Raw genomic sequence first — 27,034 nt, 5'->3', positions numbered from 1 at the left:
AGTGCCAAGAACATACATTGGGGAAAAGACAGTCTTTTCAATAAGTGGTGCTGGGGAAACTGGATATCTGTATGCAGAAGAATAAAACTAGACCCCTATCTCTCACCATATATGAGAATCAAATCAAAATGGATTAAAGACTTAAATCTAAGACCTCAAACTATAAAACCACTACAAGAAAGCACTGGGGAAACTCTCCAGGACATTGGTTTGGGCAAAAATTTCTTGAATAATACCCCAAAAGCACAGGCAACCAAAGCAAAATGGACAAATGGGATCACATCAAGTTAAAAAGCTTCTGCACAGCAAAGGAAACAATCGACAAAGTGAAGAGACAACCCATAGAATGGGAGAAAATATTTGCAAACCATACATCTGATGAGGGATTAATAATTAGAATATATAAGGACCTCAAACAACTCTATAGGAAAAAAATCTAATAATCTGATTTAAAAATGCACAAAAAATTTGAAATAGACATTTCTCAAAAGAAGACATGAACAGTGATGCAAAAATCCTCAATAAAATATTGGCAAACTGGATCCAGTGGCATATCAAAAAGCTTATTCACCACGATCAAGTAGGCTTTATCTCTGGGAGGCAATGTTGGTTCAACATATACAAATCAGTAAATATGATTCATCACATAAACAGAACTAAAGACAAAAACCAAGAATTATCTCAATAGGTGCAGAAAAGGCTTTTGGTAAAACTCAACACCGCTTCATATTTAAAACTCTCAATAAACTACGTGTTAAAGGAACATACCTCAAAATAATAAGAGCCGTCTATGACAAACCCACAGCCAACAACACTGAATGGACAAAACCTGGAAGCATTCCACTTGAAAACTGGCACAAGACAAGGATGCCCGCTCTCACCACTCCTATTCAACATAGTATTGGAAGTCCTGGCCAGAGCAATCAGGCAAGAGAAAGAAATAAAGGACCTCCAAATAGGGAGAGAGGAAGTCAAACTATCCCTGTTTGCAGACAACATGATCCTATATCTAGAAAACCCCATAGTTCCAACCCAAAAGCTCCTTCAGCTGATAAACAACTTCAGCAAAGTCTCAAGATACAAAATCAATGTATAGAAATCACTAGTATTCCTATATACCAACAATAGCTAAGCCGAGAGCCAAATCAGGAAGGCAATCTTATTCACAATTGCCACGAAAAGAATCCAATACCTAGGAATACAGCTAACCAGGGAGGTGAAAGATCTTTACAAGGAGAACTACAAAACACTGCTCAAATAAATCACAGATGACACAAACAAATGGAAAAACTGTCCATGCTCATTGATAGGGAGAATCAATATTGTTAAAATGGCCATACTGCCCAAAGCAATTGATAGATTCAATGCTCTTCCTATCAAACTACCAATGACATTCTTCACAGAACTAGAAAAAAAAACTATTTTAAAATTCATATGGAACCAAAAATGAGCCCGAATAGCCAAGGCAATCCTAAGCAAAAAGAACAAAGCTGGAGGCATCATGCTACTCAACTTCAAACTATACTTCACGGCTACAGTAACTAAAACAGCATAGTACTGGTACAAGAACAGGCACATAGACCAATGGAACAGAATACAGAGCCCAGAAATAAGGCCAGACACCTACAGCTGTCTGATCTTCTACAAAGTCACCAAAAACAAGCAATAGGTAAAGTACTCTCTATTCAATAGATGCTACTGGGATAAATGGCTAGCCATATGCAGAAGATTGAAATGGGACCCCTTCCTTACGCCATATACAAATATTAACTTAAGATAGATTAAAGACTTAAATGTAAGAGCCAAAACTATAAAAATCATGGAAGATAACCTAGGCAATACCATTCTGGACACAGAAACGGCAAAGATTTCATGGCAATGATACCAAAAGAAATTGCAACAAAAGCAAAAATTGACAAATGGGATCTAATTAAACTAAAGAGCTTCTACACAGCAAAAGAAACTATCAACAGAGTAAACAGATAACCTACAGAATGGGAAAAATTTTTGCAAACTATACATCTGACAAAGATCTTACATCCAGTATCTATAAGGAACTTAAACAAATTTATAAGAAAACAACAACAAACAAACTACCCCATTAAAAACTGGGCAAAGGACATGAACAGACACTTCTCAAGAGAAGACATACATTCAGCCAATAAGCATATGAAAAAAGCTCAACATCACTGATCATTAGAAAAATGCAAATCAAAACAGCAATGAGATACCATCTCACACCAGTCAGAATGGCTATTACTAAAAAGCCAAAAAATAACAGGTGCTAGCAAGGTTGTAGAGAAAAAGGAACACTTACACATTGTTGGTGAGAGTATAAATTAGTTCAACCATTGTGGAAAACAGTGTGATGATTCCTCAAAGACCTAAAAACACAACTACCATTTGACCCAGCAATCCCATTACTGGGTATATACCCAGAGGAATATAAATTATTCTATCATAAACACACCTGCACACATATATTCATGGTAGCACTACTCACAATAGCAAAGACATGGAATCAACCTAAATGTCCATCAATGGTAGACTGGATAAAGAAAATGTAGTATATACACACCATGGAATACTATGCAGCCATAAAAAAGAATGAGATCATGTCCTCTGCAGAAACATGGATGGAGATGGAGGCCATTATCCTTAGCAAACTAATGCAAAAACAGAAAACCAAATACTGCATGTTCTCACTGATAAGTGGGAGCTAAATGATGAGAGCACATGGACAGGTAGAGGGGAACAACAGATACTGGGGTGTACTGGAGGGTGTCAGGTGGGAGGAAAGAGAATATCAAAAAATAACTAATGAGTACTAGGCTTAATACCTGGGTGACAAAATAATCTGTACAACAAACTCCTGCGATATGAGTTTATCTATATAAGAAACCTGCACATGTACCCCTGAACTTAAAAGTTATAAAATAAAATAAAAAATAAGACATCCAAATGGCAAACAGGCATATGAAAATGTTCTTACATGGATCATCAGAGAAATGCAAATCAAAACTATAATGAGAAATCATCTCGCTCCACTTAAAATGGCTTTTATCCAAAAGACAGGAAATAACAAATGCTGGTGAGGATGTGGAGAAAAGGGAACCCTCACACTTTTGGTGGGAATGTAAATTAGTTCTCCACTATGGAGAACAGTTTGGAGGTTCCTCAAAACACTAAAAATAGAGCTACCATATGATCCAGCAATCTGGGTATACACCCAAAAGAAAGGAAATCCGTATATCGAAGTGATATCTGCACTCCCATGTTTGTTGCAGCACTGTTCACGATAGCTAAGATTTGGAAGCAATGTAAATGTCCATCAGCAGATGAATGGATAAAGAAAATGTGGTACTTATACACAATGGAGTACTATTCAGCCACAATAATATGAGATTCTGTCATTTACAAAAACATGGGTGAAAATGGAGGTCATTATGTTAAATGAAATAAGCAGGCACAGAAAGACAAACCTAACATGTTCTCACTCAAGTGTGGGATCTAAAAACCAAGACAATTGAACTCACGGACACAGGGGAAGGGTAGTGGAGGGGTTGAGGAAGAGATGGGAATGATTAATGAGTAAAAAGAAAAATTAAAAAGAATGAGTAAGACTTAGTGTTTGATAGCACAACAGGGTGACTACAGTCAATAGTAATTTAATTATACATTTAAAGATAAATAAATGAGTATATAATTAGATTGTTCGTAACACAAAGGATAAATGTTTGAGGGGAGGGATATCCCATTTTACGTGATGTGATTATTACACATTGAATGCCTGTGTCAAAATCTCTTATGTACCCCACAAATATATATACCTACTATCTACCCATAAAAATTAAAAATTAAAAAAGGATTAGACTGTTTTATGCAGCAAATTATGCAGCACATGAACTATTATGTAGAGGGAGCCTCAGCCCAGGAGTCACAAAGAAAACTTTGTGACCCTAGGAAAGCCCCTGGCTCTCCTAGCCTGAGCCTTCCTATTTGTACAGACAGAGGATTGGGCTTCATGATCCATGAGCAGTCTCTGAGTTCTGGGAGTAAACATACATACCTGAAGCCCAGAGAGGAGCCTCGCCTGCATTCATAGGACTCCATGCAAGGACAAAGAATAAAAGGTTAAAAACGAAGGACTTAGAATTCCATTTCTAACCAAGGTGGAGTAATAGGAACTGGATTTACCCTCTTGCCTTAAATGATCAAACAAACTGACAAAATATATAAAACAACAGTTTTCCAACGTGAACAGTTGGCAATGCAGGAGAGTGATCCCTGAAAACAAAAAATGGAAACAAATGAGGCAAGCCTTATGATTGTCCAAGGTTATTACTTAGAGAGTTTAGGGGCTGCAGTGCAGGGAGCAGGAACCCAGGTAGAGCCTGGTGGTTTCCTAGAGTTTAGAAGACAAGAGATAGACATTCACAAAGGCCAAGGTAGCTAGAGTTTGCATGGCAGACAGAGAGAGAGAGAGAGAGAGCTCTGAAGCTTTGCAGAATCCCCCTCCAACCCTGTCCTGACCCTGTCCTGAATTTTCAGCTGAATATTGATCAATGTATGCAGGTGAGAAAACTACCTGAGACTAGGGAAAGAACCACCTGAGAGAAACAGACAGAAAAATCCACAGAGCTAGCACAGGGCTGAGAATAGTAGAAAAACCTCCTAATATGTAGAGTATAGGGTAGGGTATGCAGAAGGGTGTTGCTTTAGTAGCAGGGAATTGGTATGTAGGATAAAGAATAAAATCACACTCAGAATAAAGGCTACTTTGGCTTTACCTAACAAAGCTTAAAGGCAAGCCTCAGAAGGATCAAACTGTTTCCAAGTAGCATAACTACTACAAAGCTCAAGAATATTTTCAAAAATAAAATGAAAGAATATCCAGCATCCAACAAGGCAAAACTCACAATGTCTGGAATTCAATTTAAAAACATTGTCAGGCATGCAAAGAAGCAGGAAAATACAACCTATAATGAAAGAAAAAATCAATCAGAACTGACTGAGAAATGACACACACGGTAGACAAGGAAATACAAACAATTATTTTTAAAATTGTTTTAACTATATGTGCTCAAGAAATAGAGGAAAACAGAAGAAGGTGAGATGTTCATGATATAAAAAGACCCAAATCAAACTTGTGCAGATGAAAAATATCATGTCTGAGATGAAAACCACTGAATGGAATTAATATGTTTAGACACTATAAATGAAAAGATTAATGAACTTAGAGCAATAAATACTATCTGAAATGAAGCACAGAATTAAAAAAGACCCAAGAGAATGATGAGCAGAGAGCATAAGTGATCTGTGGGTCCACTTCAAGTATCCTAAAACACATGTAATTGAAGTCCCCAAAAGAGAAATGAATTACCAGGCCTATCATAACCAAATTGCTTAAAAACAACTATAGAAGGAAAATCATAAAAGCAGCAAAAAGGGGTAGAAAAAAACTACATTATGTATGAAGGAACAAAGAATGACAGCAGATTTCTTACCAGAAATAAGCAAGATAAAAGATAGTGGAACTTCATAACAGCACTATTCAAAATAGCCAAAAATATGGAAATAGCTTAAATGCCCATCAATAATGAATGGATAAACAAACTGTGGTATATACATACAATGGAATATTATTCCAGCCATAAAAATAAATGAAGCATTGATACATGCTTCAATGTGGATGAACCCCCAAAACATGGAGCTCAGTAAAAGAAGCCAGACACAAAAGGTCAGATATTGTCTGACTCCACTTATATGAAATATTCAGAATAGGTAAATCCAGAGGCAACAGGCAGATTGGTAGTTGGCAGGGGCTGTGGGGAGAGGTGACTATGAAGAAACTGCTTAATGGGTATGGGGTTGCCTTTTGGGGTGATGAAAATGTTTTGGAGCTATACAGAGGCAATGGTTGCACAATATTGTGAATGTACTAAATGCCATTGAATTGTTCACTTTAAAATGCTTAATTTTATGTTTTGTCAATTTCTCCTCAATAAAAAAAAGACAGGAGCAACGTCTTATAAAGTACTGAAAGAAAAAAATATCAGCCTATAATTCTATACCCAGTGAAAGTATCTCTTAAAAATGAAGGAAAGACCAAGACTTTTTCTGACAAACAAAAGCTGAAAGAATTTATCACCAGTAGATCTGTACTACATAAGTGTTAAAGGAAGTCTTTCGAGCAGAAGAAAAATGATACCAGATGCAAATCTAGATTTACACAAAGGAATAAAAAGCACAAAATGGTAAATATGTGGTTAAATATAAACTTTCCTTGTTTTAAAAATCTCTTTAGAAGATAACTGCTTAAGGAAAAATAATAACAATTTACTGTGGAGTTTATAATAATTATAGAAGTAAATTTTATGACAATAACACAAAGGCTTGGTGAAAGGAAATAGCAGTATACTGTTATAAAGTTCTTATGGTATATATGATGCAATATAATATTATTTGTAGCTAGTCTGTGACAAAGTAAAATTACATACTGTAATATCTAAAGCAACCACTGAAGGAGAAAAAAAAAGTACAGACAATAATCCAACATTGGAGATGAAATGGAGTCATTAAAAACAATCCAAAGAAGGCAAAAAAAGGAAGGAGGGAACAAAGAACAGATGTCACAAATAGAAAATAAATAGCAACAATATATAAACATCACTATGTTGAGGACCAAATTAAACATAAATGGTATAAACATCCCCAATTAAAAGGAAGAGATTGTCAGATTGGATCTTTAAAAACTGAAGGCTCAACTATTTACCCCCTGCAAAAGTCCCACTTTTATTTGTTTGTTTGTTTGTTGAGACAGGGCCTCACTCCTGTCACCCAGGCTGGAGTGCAGTCGTGCAATCACGGCTCACTGCAGCCTCAACTTCCTGGGCCCAGGTGATTCTCCCACCTCAGCCTCCTGCATAGCTGGAACTACAGGCATGTGCCACCATGCTTGGCTAATTTTTTAATATATATATTTTTAGTAGGGATTGTGTTTTGCCATATTGCCCAGGCTGGTCTCGAACTCCTGGGCTCAAGCAGTCCACCTGCTTCAACCTCCCAAAGTGAAATTACAGGCATGAGCCTACATGCCGGCCAAAAATCCCACTTTAAATAAAAAGCCACAAACAGGTTAAAGTAAAAGGATTAAAAAAGATACATCTTAGATATACATATTAGGTATACACGCTAAAACCAATCAAAACAAAGCTGGAGAAGTTATTACAGGCAAGTCAGACAAAGTGGAATTCAGAACAAAGAGTTTTACCAGGATAAAATGGCCATTTCCTAAGAATAAAAGAGTTAATTCATCAAAAGGACATAACAATCCTGCATGTTATGCACCTAAATAACAGAATTTCAATATATGTGAATAAAAAAACTGATAAAACTCCAAAGAGAAATAGACAAATAAACAATTACAGTCAGATATTTCAACATTCTCTCAGTAACTGAGAATAAACAGATAGAAAATTAGTAAGAATTTAGAAGGCTTGAACAACACTATCAGCCAATTTGACCTAATTAACATTCATAGAACACTCCACCCAATAATAAAATACACACTTACTTAGAGCATATTCTCGGACATAAAATAAATCTTACTAAATGTAAAAGAATTCAAGTTAGACAAATTATGTCTTATGAACACAATGAAATTAAATTAGAAATCTGTAACAGAAAGGCATCTGGAAAATCATAAAATATTTGAAGATTAAACAAAACCCTTAATTCATGGGTCAAATAAAAATCAAAAGGGATATTTAAAAGTATTTTGAACTGATTGAAAAAGAAAACATAGCATATCAAAACTTGTAGGATGCAGTTAAATCAATACGTACAGGGAAAATTGTAGCACTAAATGCTTATATTAGAAAAAGAGGCCAGGCATGGTGGCTCACGCCTGTAATCCCAGCACTTTGGGAGGCCAAGGCGGGTGGATCACGAGATCAGGAGATCGCGACCATCCTGGCTAACACGGTGAAACCCCGTCTCTACTAAAAATACAAAAAAAATTGGCTGGTGCCTGTAGTCCCAGCTACTCGGGTGGCTGAGGCAGGAGAATGGTGTGAACCAGGGAGGCAGAGCTTGCAGTGAGCCGAAATCACACCACTACACTCCAGCCTGGGCGACAGAGTGAGACTCTGTCTCAAAAAAAAAAAAATAGAAGAAGAAGAAAGTTCTCAAATTAATGACATAGGCTTCTTCCTTAACAAACTAGAAAAAGAAGAGTAAATTAAACCTAAAGTAAGCAGAAGAAAGAAAATAATAAAGATAGCAGAAATCAATGAAATAGAAAATATAAAAATAATAGAGAAAACCAATAAAGCCATTCTTTGAGAAGGACAGTAAGTTTGATAAGCCTCTAGCCAGGCTAGTCAGGGAAAAGAGAGAAGACACAAATAACTAATGTCAGGAATTAGATATGGCACATAGATTCAGATCCTACAGAAATTAAAAGTATAGCAAGAATATATGATGAACAACTTAATGTTTATAAATTTAACAACTTGGATGAAATGGACAAATTCTATGAAAGATGCAAACTACCCAAATTTACCAAAGAAGAAATATATAAACAAAATAGCTCTACACCTACTAAAGAAATTGAACGTGTGTTTTAAAATCTCCCCAGAGAAAAATCCAGGCTCAGATGGCTTCACTGTTGAATTCTACCAAATGTTTAAGGAATAAATATTACCAAGTCTACATATAATTTTCCAGAAAATTAAAAAGGGGAGAATACTTTCCAACTCATTATGTGAGGCCAGCATTACTCTGCTACCAATAGTAAACTATCATATTACAAGAAAAGAAAATTTAGACTAATACCTATCATAAGGATACAACAATATATAAAAAGGATAATATAACAAATGAAGTAAATTCCAGGAAGGCAAGACTGGGTTAACACACAAAAATCAATGTAATTCATCAAATTAATAATGTGAAAAAGAAAAACAATGTGATTATCCAAATAGGTGCAGAAAAAAGCATTTGACAAAATTCAACATCTACTCCTGGTAATAAAATCTCTCAGAAAACTAGGAATAAAAGAAAATGTTCTTAACCTGATAAAGGACATCTGTGAAAAGCCTACAACTAACATCATGCCTTACAGTGAAAGACTGAATGCCTTCTCCCTAAGATCAGACAAGGATGATTGCTCTCAACCTTTCTTATTCAGCATCACACTAGAGGTCCTAGCCAGTGCAATAGGTGAGAGAAAATAAATTAAAAGCATACTCATTGGAAAGGAAGAAATAAAACTGTCTCTGTTTGGAGAAGACATAATTGTCTATGTAGAAAAACCCAAAGAATTTAAGAACTAATAACTGAGCTTAGTAACGTTGCAAGATACAAGCTCAATATGCAAAAATAAGCTGTATTTGCATTAGTAATAAGCAATTGGAAAGTGAAACAAAAACAACACAATTACTTACAATAGCACCAAAAAATATAAACTACTTAGGAATAAGCCTATCAAATATGTATAGGATCCTTACACTAAAAACTACAAAACACAAATAAAAAAATCAAAGAAGCCATAAAAAAATAGAGATGAACCATGTTCATGCACTGGAAGACTCACCAGTGTTAAGATTTATTCTTCTCCCAAATAATCTATATATTGAATGCAACTCAAAATTCCAGGAAGACATTTGGTAGAAATCAAAAAGCTGATTCTAAATTTCTATGAAAAGTTAAAGGAATTAGAATAGCTAGGCCAGGCACGGTGGCTCACGCCTGTAATTCTAGCACTTTGGGAGGCTGAGGCAAGAGGATCTCTTGAGGCCAGGAGTTTGAGACCAGCCTGGGCAACATAGTGAGACCCCATCTCTATACAAAATTAAAAAATTAGCTAGGCATGGTGGCATACACTTGTTGTCCTCTACTTGGGAGGCTGAGGTGGGGGGATTGCTGAGCCCAGGAGATCGAGGCTGCAGTAAGCTATCATTGCACCACCACACTCTAGTCTAGATGATAGGGAAAGACCCTGTCTCTAAAAAAAAGAACAGACAAAACAATACCACCTAATTTTAAGGTTTAATAATAAGTAATGGTAATCAAGACACTGTAGCATCAGTGAAAGGATAGATTAATAGGACAAAATAAAAAGCATATAAATTATCCCAAACATTAATTTTTTTTTTTGAGACAGTTTCACTCTTGTTGCCCAGGCTGGAGTGCAATGGTGCAATCTCAGCTCACCGCAACCTCCGCCTCCCAGGTTCAAGTGATTTTCCTGCCTCAGCCTCCCGAGTAGCTGGGATTATAGGTGCGTGCCACCACGCCCAGCTTATTTTGTATTTTTAGTAGAGAAGGGGTTTCTCCATGTTGGTCAGGCTGGTCTCAAACTCCTGACCTTGAGATCCGCCCACCTCGGCCTCCCAAACTGCTGAGATTACAGGCATGAGCCACTGTGCCTGGCCAGTTGGTTTTTAAATAAAGGTTCAAAGACAATTCAATGGAGACAGAATAGTCTCTTCGAAAAATGGTGCTGGAAAAATTGAGTATTCACATTTGAAAAATGTACCTCAACTCATACTTTGTACCATTTACAAAAATTAACCTAAAATGCAACATACACATAAAAGTAATACCTAAAACTATAAAACTTCTAGAAGAAAACATAAGAGAGATTCTGTGTGACTTTGGGCAAGGTTCATCAAGTACAACACCAGTATCATGATTCATAAAAGAAAAAACTGATAAACTGGACACCATCAAAATAAAAAAACTTCTGTCTTTCGAAAGACACTAGTAGGTGAATGGAAAAACACTCTACAGACTGGAAAATTAGATTTATATGTGATAAAAGGCTTGTGTCCAAAATACACAGGAAAAGTTCTCAAAACTCAATAGAACAACATGATCTTTAAAATGTGCAAAAGACTTGAACAGATACTTTGCCAAAGAGCATATACCATGGAAAATAAACCCATGGAAAGATGCTCAACATCATCAGTAAGCAGAAAAACGCAAATTAAAACCAAAATGAGGTTCTATTTGACACTTATTAGAATGACTAAACAAACAAACAAACACGTGCCACCAAGTGCTGGCAAGGATGCAAAGCTCCTGGAGCTCTCATCCATTGCTGGTGGGAATGCTAAATGCCTGCTCTGGAATACAGTTTGGCAAGTATTGTAAAGCTAAATACATCCTTCCTGTTCAACACGGGAATCTACTCCTGGGGGCTTTATCTACACAAAACCTGTATGTAACTGTTTATAGCCACTTTATTTGTTATTGTACCAAACTGGAAACAACTCAAATATCTTTCAACTGGTTAATGGATAAATAAACTATGGTACATACATACAATGGAATACTATTCATCAATAAAAAGGATTGAACTACTGATCTGTGCAACAATGTGGATGAATGTCACCATATACTCTGGTCAATTTATATGACATTCTGGAAAAGGCATAACTATAGGGGCAGCGGGCAATGGTTGTCAGCAGGAGGGGGGAGGGGTTGACAATGAAGAGGCAGGAGGTAGTGTTTGGGATGGTAAAACTGTTCTATATCCTGGTTGGAGGTGGTAGTTACATGACTGTGGGTGCTTGTTGCAACTTGTAGAATTGTATACTAAATACGGTAAATTTTACTGCATGTAGATTATATGTTAATTTTTTAATGGAAAAATTTTATAAACTAAGAAACGAAACTCAGGGAGTTTTCTGTTCAAGCCTCCATCCCATAGGAAACCTACTGTCCGAAACCCCGCTCCTAAGAGCACCACAAATGTGCCGCACCCTGTGTTCAAGGGCAGATTCCAAAAGGAAGGCTGCAGATCAAGGCTCAGGAATTGGGGGCAGACTCACAACTTTGGGACCTGAGGAGGAGACAGATCAGTACCCTTTGCCCACCTGTTGGGAGGAGCAAAGGTGGGCCCTCTGGAGAGGATGCCCATATGGGGGTGGGCTGTTGTTGGATACCCCGGCCTCCTTGACAGAGGTGAACTTAGTGAAGCCAGTGAAGCTTAAATTCACGGCTCCTCACTTCCTGGTAGGGGTCCTGGTAGTAATGTGTTCATGTGGTCATAGGTTTTTGTGAAAATTGCAAAAGTGAGATATTTTAGCCATAAATATTTAAACCCACTGTCTCTTTGCCTTTCCGACTTTTTCTCTGTCACAACAATATCCCATTCCTCCTGGTATACTTCCTCCCCTGACATTGGTGTGGCCACAAGCATTCTAATTATAATCACTTCCAAATATACCTAATTTTGCATTATTTTCTAAAAAAAGGTCCCCTCCCCACCCCTGCCCTGAATCATGATTCAGCCTCACAGCCCCTCCACCCCTGGATGCCCTGTCCCTCAGCTGACTGTGGCCCTGCCCTGGAGGCTGGCTGTTTGATGCACTCACCTTTCGGTTGAAGCGATCAATAGTGACCTGATGGGCCAAGTGAGTCATGTTCAACATCACCAGACAGAACGGGGGCCAGTTCAGGTGCCCCTGCAGAGAGAACCCAGCCCTCATCAACTTGGAGCCCTGTCCTCTGTCCCCCTCCAAGTGAGTGGGCACAGCAAATGTGAGTACAGTCTCCCCTGACTACCCCCTGCACTATGCCAGGGGCTCCCATCAGGCTGGGCTGATGGTGCCCAGGATTGCATGGAACTGTTGCGGCTCCATCTGACCTCATGCAAGCCCAGACCAAAACAGAAAAAAAGGAAGGAAGGAAGGAAGGAAGGAGGGAAGGAAGGAAGGAAGGAAGGAAGGAAGGAAGGAAGGAAGGAAGGGCAGGGCAGAGAGGGAGGGAAAGAAGAGAGAAGAAAGAAGGAGAAAGACAGACAGAGAGAGAAAGAAAGAAAGAAAGAAAGAAAGAAAGAAAGAAAGAAAGAAAGAAAGAAAGAAAGAAAGAAAGAAAGAAAAGAAAGAAAGAAAGAAAGAAAGAAAAGGGAGAAGAGAAGAGAAAGAAGCTACCTCTTTCCACCTGACTTATGGGGACATCCTAGTAGGAGATTCCCTGCAGCCAGCACCCATGACCTCGGGCCACACCATTGCAGTGGCATCCCAGCTCCTCTGCACTACTGTGCCATCCCTCCTACATGGCAGGAAGCTGGCACAAGCTGGGAATGGGACAGGCTGGGGCCAGGAGGTGGCACACTCCACTCAATTCTTTCCCCAGCCTCCAAGGGAGCCATCACCTGGGAGGCCCTGCCCATTCCTGGAGACAGAGGGAGCTCAGGGGGGCTTCCACATCTGTCTTTGCCTCTGGTACCCTGGCTCACTGCTCCGTCTCCCCTCTTATCCTAGTCCCATTCCTAGTCCCCAGCAGGGAGGGAGGTATGGGGCAGGCACCAGGTTGGCACTTTTGCAGTCCAGTACATGGACGGTGAGCATTTCATCTGGGCTCTGGCTGAGGATGTAGATGGCCTCCTTGAACAGAGCTACGTGGCTCCCATCGAAGGTCACGAAGCTCAGGTCAGGGAAGATTGAGCACCGGCCTGGGGGAGGGGCAGGGCACAAGAAGAATAGGTGGATGCCTCCAAGACCAAGGCCGCCTAGGAAGATGGGGCAGGTTCCTGGCCCTTTTCCTGGATGGATGCAGAGGCCTGGGGTCTGGAGGGTGGCTCAGACCACGCATCACACAGATCAGAGGTCACAAGCGTAGGAAATCTGCCAGGTCGGGGTCCCACAGGAGGGGAGTCTGGGACACACAGATCAGGGATGGCGGTCATGCTGGGGTAAGGATACAGGGAGGATGCAGGAGGCTCCGCTGATCCCATGACTCACAGGCACACTCCCAGAGTGGGCAGCAGCGGTCCCCACCCACCCGCACGGCGAGGCCCAGGATCCCACAGCGAGGGGGAGCAGCACCCTGGGGACAGTGCTGGGACTGATTCACGCGAATCAGCTGGCCCTCCAGGCAGATGTGGCGGACGCAGTCCTGCTCGGCGATTGGCTGGGTACAGAGTGGAGGAAGTGTGAGTGACCATCAAGGAGCTACAGCCCACCCTGCAAGCTGTGATGGCACCAGATCCTTCCCACATGTAGGTCCTAGCGGGGCAGGGGACCTTCTAGGGAAAGAGGCCCTCACCCCCTACCCACCACAAGCCATGTGGGGCCTGGCGATGCACTTAGTGTGAGCTCGGGGGTCAGGGACCTATTCCCTGAGACCTCTGCAGATCTGCCTGGCCTGCGCTGAGAGGTCTGGGTACACAGGCATGTATACACACTAGCTCACACTCACAGAAACCCTAGCATACTTGCACAAGCCTATACACACAAACACACACACACACACACACAGTTTCTCACAAAGGCACAAAGATGCACATGAGGATGTCTCAAACACCATTCCTCACACACACAAGAGCACATGCAGATACAGGAGCGCTCATATTTTCTCACACATGTGAACACAAACACACACAGCAGTCTCACACAGGCACACACTAGCACACACACATTGTCACCTGGGCATCACACTAGGCCATCCAATCAGCCCCCCAGGGCCTAGATGGGCCAGGCGGAACCCTGCTATGGCATCAGGGGCCAATAGGAGACTGAAGAATTTTTCAGGGACCAGGAGCATGGGGCAGGTATGAGGATAGCGACTAAAACTCCATCTAGCAGGGAAGAGGAAGGGATGAAGGGAAGGGTCACATACGGGTGGCCAGAACCCTGGCAAATCACTCACAACACAGGTGGTGGATGTATTGGCCTCAGTGGTAGTTGCCAAAGCCTCCGCCAAACCCTCTACGATGCTCAGGGCTGGGGCTGAGCGCCCAGATGGTTCTGTGGTGGCCTCGTCCACCGGCTCTGCTGCCAGGTGAGGCCCTGCCGAGGTTCCATGGGCCTCAGCCAGCTGAGGCAACAGAACCAGCATGCTGTCTTGGGGGGCCGTCCTGGCTGAGACACGGCTCAGGGCATAGGATGTGGGCACTGGCAGAGCTGTGCCTGCCTGGGCTCCCTCGGGCTCAGCCACCAAGGGCGTGAGAGGGTGGCTCGTAGCAGGCGTGAGCTCTGTGGGCCCACCCTCTGCAGAACCATACATGGAAGTGGGCAGAGACACTTGCTTGGATAGGATGGCCACCTTCCCTGTGGTGCTCTTTCGTGGGACAACAGATACCATGGAGGCCGTGCCCTCAGCCACAGGCAGGACTCCAGAGGTTGGCAATGTGGCTCCCAGCAGCAGGCCTGGAGCTGTGCCTGCTGCTGGGGGTGCTATGTGAGTGGGTGGGTGCGCCTGGGTCATTGCTGCTGGAGTGAAAGGCAGTACTGGGCTAAGTGTCTGAGCAGGCAGAGTCGTGGCCTGTGGCTGGAGTGGAGTGGTGATGACAGAGGCTTTGGGGCCGGGTGTGGCCACTGGGGCAGATGTGCCCACCTTGGCCAGGGGCAGGCTGGTGTCGGGAGGCAGGCCAGAGAGGAGCTGGGAGGGACGAGTTGACTCAAGGGACATGAAGGGTGTGGCTGCCAGCCCATCAGTGGCTGTTGACAGGCTGGCGGCAGCTGGGGTCTCTGGGGGCAGAGCTGGAGACCTGGTGGCCATGGTGGTATGCTGGGCTGGGCGGGGTGGTGCAGAGGGGAGTGGGTGTGGCTGTGGGGAGGCAGGCGAGCCCATGGGCTGGCTGTGCCCGGCTTCGCCCTTCTCTGTGGATAGCACTATCTCCAAGCTCCTGGTTGCAAGGGGACTGACAGGAACCTGTTCTGCTGCTGTTCCAGCCACAGTTAGAGGGGTGCTGGGACTTGAAGCACTCTGGGCCTGGGTGGGCTGGGGGACCCCTGTCCTGCTTATGACCTTAGTTACTGCAGGTGTCAGCACAGCCTTGTGGGATCCCGAGGAGGTGGGGGACCTGGAGATGGCTCCAGGGGAAGCCACAGGTCTGGAGGAGGGACTTGCTGTCAAGGAGGGCTGTGGGGGTGTCGTCCTAACAGGCAAGGAGCCATGGCCTCGGACTGTCACAGCCTTGGTCATGAGCGGGAAGCGAGGGGCAGGGGGCGACCGGGAGGAGACTGTGATGTTAGGGCTTCCTGCAAAGATCACAGTCACCCTTGTTGTCTCCATGGCACCTGACACCATGCCAGGTGTGGGTGTCTGCAGTGCAACAGGGAGGGATGAGGACTCTGGTGTATGGGGGATGGCCAGGAGGCTGGCAGTCACTCCCTTGCTGGCTGGGGACTCCGTGGGGCCGGCGGGGAGTTGAGATGCAGTGAGCTCCAGTGGCTGCTGCAGGGTGGTCTGGGTGGGGCCTGGAGACACCACTGGCTCCTCAGTGGCTGTCACTGGTGGGTTCAGGGCTGTGGTGAGTGGGGCAGCTGGGGTGAGGGCTGGCCTGTGGGTGGGGGTCCTGGGGCTTTCCTGTGACAGCTGTGGCTCCTCATCACTGGGAGTGGGCAACCCTTGACTGGGAGGGAGGGTCTCATTGCCAAGGGCCTCTGTGGGAACCCAAACTGCTGGCTCCACACCTGCGGAGACAAAAGAAGAGGTTCAGAAGGCGGGGTGACTGCTGCCCCGGGGGTCATTGCTGGGCAGGGCTGTGGTGTGAGGCTTGAGGACTGGCACTCTCGGTGATGGGGTGAGGGCAGCTTCTAACGGCCAGATGTCAGCAGGTCTGGACTCCGCCCCAGACGTCAGACCCTGACCCCAGAACCAAGAGACCTCAGGTCTAAGTCTGGCTGCACCACCTTCTCACCATGTGACCCCACTCTGGGCCTCATTTCTCCTCTCTGTGAAATGGGGCGAATAGACCGGATGAGGCCTCTGCATCCCCTGTGCCTGTGCCTCTTTCCAAAGGTCCCTGTGCTGATCTTGCTTCTCTGGGACCTGGGAGCTTTGAGGCATGACTGCTCAGTGAGACCCTAGGGACTTAGAGGAAATCTGAGGGAAGGATGAGAAGTCTGGGCCACTTACAGTCCTCCAAGTAGACACATCTCTGTGTGACTTCATCCAGGACCTGGGGGGTGGGGCACACAGGGACACAGCCTTCTACCCTGAGGACAGAGCAGGGAGCAGTTTAAAGGCCTGAAATACAGGCAGGGCCATCTCTTTTTCTCTCGATTGAGCACAGGCCTTATCCTTTCTTATGACACATGTGCGTGCACACATGTGCTTATTACGTGTACACACACATGACCCTCCATAGAGATGCTGTCACACATGTACAGGAGCACACACACCCAATGTGTATGCGGCACACTCCTGCACACTTCTACCCCTCAGACCGAGAGGGAAACACACACACGAGCAAGGTACACTTCTGCACACACTCATGTACATGTTCACATGTGTCTCTGCCTGGGCACATTCTCACATGGCCTCATGTACCCCCTCCAACCCTGCAGGACTCCAAAATTTTTACATATACATGCAAACACATCCACAGAGACTCCCACAAAAATCAGTGAATACACCCTCACACATGCACACAGCTGCACACAACACCTGCATACATGCAGCTGTGTACAACGAATGCACAGTTGTAGTAGTACACGCACAAACACACGCAAGGCTCTGCTGCATGCACATCATGCACAAATAGATAGTCACATATGCTGACATATGTGCATATACGGAAAGACACAGTTACCGTGGTACACACATCCCCATACACTCAACATATGAAACACTCATACACAAGTGTATGTGAGTGCACACACACACTAGTGCACACACCTTGGCTCCATGCCCACAGCCCCTGGCATCTCACCTGGGTACGTCCCGGCAGCTGGCTGCCCGTGGGTCCCGGCAGGTTTGGAAGCAGGGGCTGGCACAGGCATCGTAGCGCCACTCGCAGATGGGGTAGGCAGCCCCCGAGGGCTTGGCATCTAGAAAGTGAGATGGGGCAGCAACTCTGGGTCAGGTGAAGACACAGAGGGAGTCCCAGAGCTCAGCCCTGCCCCCCATCCTGTGGAGGGGACAAATGGACCCATGCAGGGAAAGCAAATGGGGAAAAAACCACACTAAGGAGAAACTGCGTTCATGGTGGTTGGGGTGAGTGCCTGGGGGATCCTGGGGACGGGGCTCTGGGAGCTGAATGCAGGACTGAGGACAGGGAAGGACTGAGGACAGGGAAGAACTGAGGACAGGGAAGCTCTGGCCCCGGCAGTTGGAGTGAGGTTTCGAAGGGTGACCGAAGAAGAGGCCTGGACCCCTGATCTCTCCCTTGGGATGCCCTGCCACCCACCCTGCCCCTCTGGGACCCTGGTGCTCAGGCTTGCCCTGCATCCCAGGACACAGTAACCTCCTCCTTGCCTTGTCTCTAGCAGGGCTATTGCAGACCTCCATGGAGGCAAGAGGCTCTCCTTTGCAGGGTGAGGGGAGGCACTGGGGGATCCCTTCCCCTCTAGCCCAAAGCGTTCCTGGGCACCTAGCCCCAGAGAGCTTGCAAGGGAGGTGTTATTCCCCCGACTCAGCCCTCTCTGTTCCCAGAGGGCCCCTGAAGGGCCTGAGAGTGCAGGTCGTGTGAGCACCACCCTCACTGCCCTGGCGGCTGGGCTAACTCTTAAACAGCACTGGGCGCTACCCAAAATATCTCACACGGATTTACTCATTCAACCTCATCATCGTCCTAGGAAGTAGGCGCTATTATTACCCCCACTTTAGAGAAGAGGAAACCCAGGCACAGATGATGCTGAGAAAGTGAAAGGTTTTCAGAGGAGATGTTCTCAAAAGAGGCCCTGTGGCTAGCACCTTGGCAAATGAGGGAAAAGTCTGCAGCCTATGGGGGGCTTGGAGGCAGACAAGTAGACCCCAGGCTACCTTGGCACAAGTGACCAGTTTCTGAACACACAGCCTGAACAGGGAGGTGTGGGTAGGCTCCGAAGCAGGCTCCAGGGAGCATCCCCCACCGGCAGCTCCTCCAGACGCCCTAACCTGAACACTGCTGCCAGCTGTAAAGAAACCTGCTTTTCCAAAAGTCTAACTTACATTTGGGGAGCACCTACTATGTGCCAGCACAAGGCAAAGCCCGCGAGACACAGCCAGTCCTCACAGCACACTTCCGAGACAAATATCCCCATTCTACAGGTGAAGAAACCAAGTCAAGGAGATGAGGGTTCTCCTCCAAGGGTCTAGGACCAGGGTCAGGATTTGAACTCAAGGCTGTCCAGCTTCAAAGCCTGGGCTCATGCCACTCTGCCCTAGTGTCTTCCGGAGAGGGACACAAATACTCCCATCATGAGCAAGTCTTGTCATCATGGCCAGTGATAAATCTGTCCCATGTCAAGTTTAAGGGCAGACTCGATAACTGACCGCTGAAGGGAAGAATGAGCTCACCCAGCCCTGGCTTGGGTGGGGTGGGTGATGAAATAAGGAGGCTGGCTGAAGACACATTTACATACGTGTACATGCAAATGGATCCACCCACAGACACAGGTACCCCCAAGCCCCATGCAAGACAGAGAAAACAGTGAAGAAATTATGATCGCCTTCTCCAGGGTTTAGGCAGAGAACAATATTTTGGGGACAGACACACCTGGCAGGGCAGGCCCTGGATCCCCTTGGCGTTGGTGGAAGGTCGGGGAGTTGCCCCATCCCTGTCCAGGGGCTTGGGCCTTCCATTGAGAGAGGAGGTTGCTGGCCCCCAGACCTATCCCCCTTGTGCAGTCTTTGAACTCATGGGGCAGACATGTGACCTCATCAGCAAGAAAACTGAGCCAGCGGCTACGCATGTTGCAGCCAGGATCACACCTCCCCTCACTTCCACAAAGGCTGCTATATTTTTAGACAGTGTAATTGGCCTGTGGCAGAAGGCAGGACCCAGGAAATTGGCTGGACCCCAAGCACACTGTCCGTGGCTCCCTAAGCTGTCAACATGGAGGCTGGGCCACCTCTCATCTCAGGGTGGCACCCATGTGGCCCCTGTGCCAGGAGAAGGAGGATTCTGCTTCTTAGGGGTAATTGGAAGGGTGAAGTGGGGACAGGGTGGGAAGAGCAGTGGACTGAGAGGGCCAAAGGGCCGAGGGCAATGGCAGGGGGTCGCCTACCCAGAAGGCGGAAGAGTGTGCCCCGGCGGAACACCTCTGTGTGTTCGTACAGCCGCAGGGCCAGCACCGCGCCCGACACATAGAGGAAGGAGCTGGGCTTGGCCAGGGACTCCAGGGCCACCAGGCCTGCCTGCCGTGTCCCCCGGTGCAGCAAGAAGGAGGCATGCTGTTGGAAGGTGTCACGGCCCTGCCACTTAGCCAGCTCCAGAGACCCGTTGGCTGTGACGTGAAGGAAGAAGTTGGGTCTGTCTGCTGCCTCCAGGGACACCACATCTGGGTCTGCAGAGAACCACATGGGGAGAGTCAGTACAGGCAGAGGTCCAGGTGGCTGCGGGAACAGCATCCTGGCACACATCTGCTCTCTCAGCGACTCTGGATGGCAGCACGCCTGCAGACCAGCAGGCCCTGCCCCCTACACCAGCCCCCAGCCCACCTACTCTGCCTGCCAGCTGCCCCTCACACCATCTCTGCCTGAGGGCGAGCGGAGGCTTAGAGACCCCCCAGCTGCTAAGCCTCGGGAAGGTAATTGAACTATCTCCTTCCCTCCCCTTTGCACCCCTCTTTCCATTCTTCCCTCCTTCTGCAAACATGTTTGAGTGCCCTCAATGTACCAGGCACTATTCTAGATACGCAGGATCCATCAGTGAATACAATAGAGGCAACTGCCCTGATGGGGTTGCATTGCATTAGACATGTGGGGCACGCTGAAGGTTGGTGATTTGCCAAGCTATAGGGTCCCCAGCTTGGTCCTGCTCCTCACAGAATTCCACAGGGCCAGCATTGGCAACCCTTCATCCAACTCATAGATAGGGAGAGGGTCCCAGAGAGAGAGAGAAAGGAGCTTGCCCAGAGACCCAAAGCTTGTCTCTGTCCTCTCTCTCTGGTCTCCATAACTGCCCAGTTCTAGGGCATGGGGGCTTGATGCCTGGTGGGCAGTTTCCCCTGCCCAGGGCCTTATGGGTCTCCTCAAGTCCCAAATCCACAAGCAGGCACAGGGAGTGAGCATGGGGCGGGAATCCCAGCTCACCACCCTGGCTGTGATGTGGGCAAGCGCATTCATGCCTGGGCTGTTGGAGGGATCATCAACGAGGTGTGTGTGAAGCGCCTGGCACAGCCTGGTGCTGGGTGGGTGCATCTTCAGCCCCTTCCATGTGTCCCCTGTGTCCCCAGGAGGGACGATAGTGTCCCTGTCACACCTCCCTGGGAAGCTGCGAGAAGATGGCAGGTAACAGAGACTGGCTTCATCCATGTTAATAATCACAGCTGCTGTTTACACATGACTCGCTACGTGCCAGGCACTGTGCTAAGCAAGCTGGTTACCTGCAGGTTTTGAAATTCCTACGAGAACCCTGTGAAGTGAAAAATATCTTCATTCAGCAGCAAATATTTACTGAGTGCCTGCTGTGGGCCAGGCCCTGTTCTAGGCACTGAGGCCACAATAGGGAGCAAAATGATGAAAATTCTTGCCCTCATGGAGCTCACCATCCTGGGGGCTGTGGGGTGGAGAGAGAATAAATTTCTATGAGAGGTTAAAAGGTGGTGATATTACAATTCCCATTTTACAGAGGAGGGAAGAGAGGCCCAGAGTCACACTGACGGCGGATGAGGGAGGCAGGGCTGGATGCAGGCAGGCTGAGACCAGAGCCCAGCTATCTTCACCACCACATGGCTGGCCCCACCCATGGGATGCAGGCGTGGGCATGGGCAGCCCAGCATGGTAGGGCACTGAGTCCCAGCCCCAGCCCGCTCCACTGGATGCGTGACCTCAGGCAAGTCACTTCTCCTCCCTGGGCCTTGGCTTCCTCCTTCAAGAAGGCGGGGTTGGCCCGGATCAAGGCTTCTCCACTGTTTTCCCTGCAGTCCTCCTAACAGGGCAGAGACCTTGAGATGCAGAGTCCGGGGCTGTACTGTAAATATTCGAGTGACTTCGCCTGCCATCCTCTGTATTTCTTGTTTAATGCCTCGGTTTGGAAGGCAGCATGGCAGAGGAGTTTGAATGAAAGACTCTGGAGCCAAACGGCTGGCGCCTGTCACTAACAAGCACTGCACCCTTGGGTAAATCACTTAATCTCTCTGGGCCTCAGTTCCCTCATCTGTAGATTGGGAAAATAATAGTCCCTACCTCCTAAGATTGTCATGAGGATTAAATGAGTTGCTATACATGAAGCGCTTAGAACAGTGCCGGCACATGAGAAGTCCTACAGAAGGGCAACGTATGATTATTAATAAATAAGTAACCTCCCCACCACAAAAATCTTCAGGTAACACTAGCACCCCGGTGACCTGTGTCAGGCTGTGGTGGTGACTCCCCAGAGCGGGAAGCCTGGGCCTCAGTGACTGCTGAGTCCTCCCCTCTGTGATGTTTCCTGCTCTCCACTTCTTCGCATAACCATCTTTCCCATCCTTTAAGGCCCAACTCAAGGGACACCTCCTCCATGCAGCCACCCTAGGTCCCACCTGGAAGGCACCTTTCCTTGGCTGCCCAGGACCCTGGGCACAGCCCAGGAGAAGCAGTATGGGAAGGGAGAGGGAGGAGCTTGGGTCCCCACTGGGCCCATGAGACCCAGGCCTGACTCTGAGACGGAGCCTGGACTGGAGCCCCTCTGGCATCCTGCCCCCAGTGACGTTCTCTAAGGCCAGGTGACTCCGGGGTTCTGCTTAGCATGCCCATAAACCTAGTGGAAAGGCAACACCCCCTCTGGACTACACATTACCTACTAGATTAAAATACTGGATGGAGAACAGAAAAGCCTCACTAAGCAGATGGCCTGCCACATCTGGAAGGTGGTGAGACACCCTTCGTCAGGCAGGAATGCATGGATCTGGGGATCAGAAATGTTTAGGGAGGAAGTGCTGTCTTTGGGGGTGGTGCTTCTAGCTGTCCTGCGGCCCAGTGCCTGACTCCTCACTCCCAGGCCTCCTTGTGCAACTACGTGATTCTGCCAGGTACCACCTACCTCACCCAGGCTCACACCACCGTGAACATCACCTATAGCTAGGGATGTTGGCTGTGCCTGGGGCTGGGCAGGAGCCAGGACGTCCCTTCCCCTCCACAAAGCCCTTCCATGGCTCCCCATTGCCCTCAGGATAAAGTCCCAAATCCTGAGCTTAGCTTACTAAGTAAGAAAGAAGTTTCCCTTCCTGACTCCTTCTTACTCTTAGGGGAACATCCTCTATTTTAACAAGGCTCTCCTGACTCTAAGACTGAGTTGGGGGCCCCCTCCCCCGTGTTCCGCCTTTGGGCACGTCTGTCTCCTCGATGGGACTGTGGGCTTCTGATGGGCAGGGACCTTGTCTCTTGTATCCCTGATTTCCCAGTACCTGGCTCTGTGCTTGGCATGGGATTAGGGCTCAGTGAAAGGGTGGGAGGCAAGAAGAGAGGTAGAGGGAGAAAGGGAAGAGAGGAGGGAAGAAGGGAGAGAGGGAGGGAGGGTGAGATAGGAAGAGAGGAAGGAGGAGGAGGAGCATGAGGAGGGAGAGCTGCCACTTGGCTTTTCTGGAACACAGCTATTGCATACAGCAAGGTACAGAGGCACACCTGGGCCTTGGCTGCCCTGGCGGTTAGGGGAGCAGATGGAGAGCATCTCTGCAGAGGAGAAGAAGCTGACCCAGAAGCACCATCTCAACTGGGAGAGGGGCACTTGTCGGAGCCCCTATTTCTCCGGCCACTACAGATACTTAGGGCCTCAGCACCCTCCCCTCCTCTAGCACCCTCCTGCCTCCCAGAAGAGCTGGAGTGGGACTGGGATGGGCCTTACCATGGGCCTTGGCCTTGTACAGAGCAGCTGTCAGCAGGAAGCTCACAATGTCTGCTGGCGCCACATCCTCTGTCCTCACTAGGACTATGTCATCGCCCACCGCCTTCATGCCCACCAGAGCACCACCGGCTGCCAAGCTGGATAGCTGATAGGGGCCCTTACCTAGCACTGGAGAGAAGAGGCCCCATCAGCAACCTGGCCCCATGGCCTGCCCACCTCCCATACCTCCTGCCCCACCCCTTGGCAGCAGTGGGGTGGGAGGGCAAGCTACCAAGGAGGAACTCTTGATGGTGTCCTTCATCCCAGATCTCAGGGACCTTGATGACCCTGAGAAGGAAGGGACAGGATTCCCAGGCTGCCAGCCCCTGAAAGGAACAGACCCACTGCACAGTGCCTGAGTCACTTCACAGGGAGCCAAGGAAGAAGGCGACCCACAGGGAGCACCTGGGCCCCCCATTGTCTCTCCACAGCCTTCCCACTGCCTGAAACTTCACCATTACAGCCACTGCTCTATTCAAGGTCCCCTCTGGAAGAAGACGTCAGACCCGGTTTCTGCCCACCCCAGGCCTGAGGGACAATAAACCTGTTAGTGTTTATCTAATTATTTCAAACACGTGTCACTGTTGAGTCTTTAGAATTCCTGTGGTTGTCAGTATAGGTTGGCACAGAGCATGGGCTTCCTGGACAATCACCTTGTAAGGATCTTCCTGCCTCTGCTGTGCCCACCCCCCACCCCAATGCCTCCTCCCCACGGCTGCTGAGCTGCCCTCCCAGCCACGCCCCCTGGTGGGACGCACCAGTGGCTCTCCATGGCCCTCAGGACAGAATCTAAAGAGCCCAGCTTGAATTCAGAAGCCCTTCAGCCCTCAGCCCCTGCCCACCTCCCCCACTCCCCCCACGCCCTGGCTCCTGCCATGCTGAACTTCTCTTGCTCTTCCTGGAAGGAGCAGTGGTGTTATTTCCCAGCTCACATCTCATCACACCGTTCCACCCACTCAGAGTAGTCCTCCCCGTTTTGTGCCTGACAAACGCCTACTCAACCTCTGGGGCCCAGCTCAAATGTCACCTCCTTGTGAAGCTCTCCCTGCACCCTCTCCTGCCACATGCAAATGTTGTCCCTCCTCCTCTGTGCCCCACCAGCTCTTGGAGCATGGCACACACCAGTTACAGCTCTTCGGATGAGGATCTGGATGGGAGGCCCACATCTGTCACCCCCACTAGATGGGAGACAAGCAGTGCTGGCTGTGCTGGCAAATGGCTAACAATGAGATCTCAAACAAAAAAAAGTGGTTTGTAGGGCTTCTGGATTTCCATGGCGTAAACACTCCCACCAGGGGTCAACTGGAAACTACCAACTGAATGTGGAGTTAGAAACACAATAGGTGCTAGAGAGGCGGCGTGAGCCTGCTCCACACACCGCTGTGGCAGGACTCAGGGACCACTGACTTCCCAACACCTGGCGGGCCCGGACCAGAGCAAATGCTAGTAGAACGGAGCAAGGATGGGTGAGTGGGTGGGTGGGTAGGTGGAAGATGCTAGAAACAGCTTGTCCTTTGCCAGTTACTGCCACCCAAAATGCCATGGAAGAGAGAAAACGAAACAGCTCCATCTTGCTGAAATGCCTTGCCTGATGTCAGACAGATCCTGTCTGCCCCAGGGACCACAGTTCCCCCATTGCAGGCTCATTCCTTTACCAATTGAAGGTCTGGGGCTGTCAAGAGCCCCTGGGGACTAGCATTTTGGCAGAACTGCAGTCCTGCGGATGCTCATGCTACACCCTGGTCCGGCCGTCATCTCGCAGGCCCCCAGATGGTATCCTGTCTCCAGTCTCTCCTTTCCACTTCACCCACCACAGTCAAGCCAAAATCTGATAATGCAGGCAACTGAGGACAAAAAGTCTGGGCCTCTGCCCACATAGGCCTGCTCCTGGCAGCACAGTCCCTGGAGGAGGGTCGGGGATTGGAAGTCAAAGGCGAACAGCACTGAGGACCAGATGAGCATCTCACTCTACCAAGGTCTGACCCTGGCCCAACTGGATGAAGTTCGGTGCTAAAAACTACTCCTGGGCAGCCCTTCTCTACCCCACCCACCCAATCCCAGTGATTAAATTGATGAATTGGCTCTAAACTGGACATTAACCTCCCCTGGGTCTTTGGTTATGACCTGTGTTTTCACCCTCGTTAATCTAAATGTCAGAGCATCTCCCGGAACCCTGCAACCTTGGCTGAGTTTGAAGATGAATGTGGCAGGCCACATGTTTTGTTCCACCCATAGTCAGAAAGGGCAGTTTGTGTCTGCTTTTGCCAAAAGCTAATCTTCGGGGAACCCAAGGTGATGTTCTGTGGGCCTGATGAGCTAGATTATGAAGGCGGAGGAGCTGGCACATAAGTGAGAATGGGGTTTTTCCTTCCTGGTGGGGCTGCCCTGCCGAGCACAGTCCCCGGGAGCTGGCCTGCCTGGGCCCCGGACAGGGGCTGCAGGAACTGCTGAGGATAGAGGTGCAGGACACCCCTGGGCCCTTCACTGTCAGGGCTCTCTCTGCATGATGGGGGCCCTCCCATTCCGGGTCACGGCTCTTCCAGGGCCAGCAGCGCCTCGGGATGGCTGATGCTGTGTGGCGTCAGGACAGGGCTGGCAGTGCCTGAGCCCCTGAGACTCTGCGTGGGGAGGAGGGGCTTACCTTTGTTAAAGAAGTCACAGTCATACGCTGAAAGAGAGAGAACAGGAACTTCCTGAGAGCCAGCCCAGAGCCTGGAACAGACAGACAGAGCCAAGGCTCCCAGCATCCCAGCCTCCCTTCTTCCCCAAGTGCTGGGCCTGGCCTGCCTCCCACATGTCAAGATTTGGGAATGGTCATGGATGCAGATGTCTTAAGTGGAGGAAAGAGAATGGCTCCTCTCTGGGCCGACAGCACGAGGCTCAAAGACTGGCACACAGTAGGCACCTCAGCGATGTGTCAAGTAAATGAACAAACGAATGAATGTTGAAAAGAAGCAGGTGTATTTTGTGTGGCGCCAAAGAGCAGGATTAGAACCAAGGAGTGGGAGTTTTAATCAGAAATGTTGCGGAAGGCCCCCAGAGGAATGCAAGCACAAGATGGAGGCTGGTCTTCCAAGAGCCTTCGGTGGGAAGGGGACCGGGAGCCCCCAGCATCCCCGGCTTCTTCAAGCCCCTTGCACTGCAGAGGCGCTTCCACCAGCCGAGCTGTGAGAAGCTCCCGCAAGCGTGAGCTCAGCTTGCCCTCTAGTGGTCATCCCCAGCACCACACCCTGTTCCCCTAGCCCCTCAGCTGCAGATTCTCAGTCCACTGAGGTGTGCCTGGGA

General features: G+C 47.7%; 1 protein-coding gene across 2 annotated transcripts in view, besides 2 other annotated features; it reads right to left on the bottom strand.

The window, feature by feature from the left end:
- The window catches only part of OTOG (otogelin), a 98,786-nt gene that overhangs the window by 19,957 nt on the left and 51,795 nt on the right, over positions 1–27,034 (bottom strand). For both annotated transcript variants that reach the window (NM_001277269.2, NM_001292063.2), the window contains 9 exons: positions 26,391–26,417; positions 23,711–23,878; positions 19,953–20,231; positions 17,675–17,792; positions 16,879–16,958; positions 14,665–16,433; positions 13,758–13,926; positions 13,323–13,468; positions 12,387–12,476 (listed from right to left, as the gene is read on the bottom strand). In NM_001277269.2, the coding sequence (NP_001264198.1) occupies positions 12,387–12,476; positions 13,323–13,468; positions 13,758–13,926; positions 14,665–16,433; positions 16,879–16,958; positions 17,675–17,792; positions 19,953–20,231; positions 23,711–23,878; positions 26,391–26,417 (2,846 nt within the window). The remainder of the gene's footprint in view (positions 1–12,386; positions 12,477–13,322; positions 13,469–13,757; positions 13,927–14,664; positions 16,434–16,878; positions 16,959–17,674; positions 17,793–19,952; positions 20,232–23,710; positions 23,879–26,390; positions 26,418–27,034) is intronic.
- Positions 21,021–21,522: an enhancer, noted in NCBI's record as "H3K4me1 hESC enhancer chr11:17626113-17626614 (GRCh37/hg19 assembly coordinates)". NCBI's record gives its function as "activates a minimal SCP1, AML or CMV promoter by ChIP-STARR-seq in primed H9 embryonic stem cells {active_cell/tissue: H9 hESC(primed)}" and the evidence as "EXISTENCE:reporter gene assay evidence [ECO:0000049][PMID:30033119]".
- Positions 23,457–23,956: an enhancer, noted in NCBI's record as "H3K4me1 hESC enhancer chr11:17623679-17624178 (GRCh37/hg19 assembly coordinates)". NCBI's record gives its function as "activates a minimal SCP1, AML or CMV promoter by ChIP-STARR-seq in primed H9 embryonic stem cells {active_cell/tissue: H9 hESC(primed)}" and the evidence as "EXISTENCE:reporter gene assay evidence [ECO:0000049][PMID:30033119]".

This window comes from Homo sapiens, chromosome 11 (genome assembly GCF_000001405.40).
Source record: "Homo sapiens chromosome 11, GRCh38.p14 Primary Assembly".
NCBI lineage: Eukaryota > Metazoa > Chordata > Mammalia > Primates > Hominidae > Homo > Homo sapiens.
This window is presented reverse-complemented; position numbering and strand designations above follow the sequence as displayed.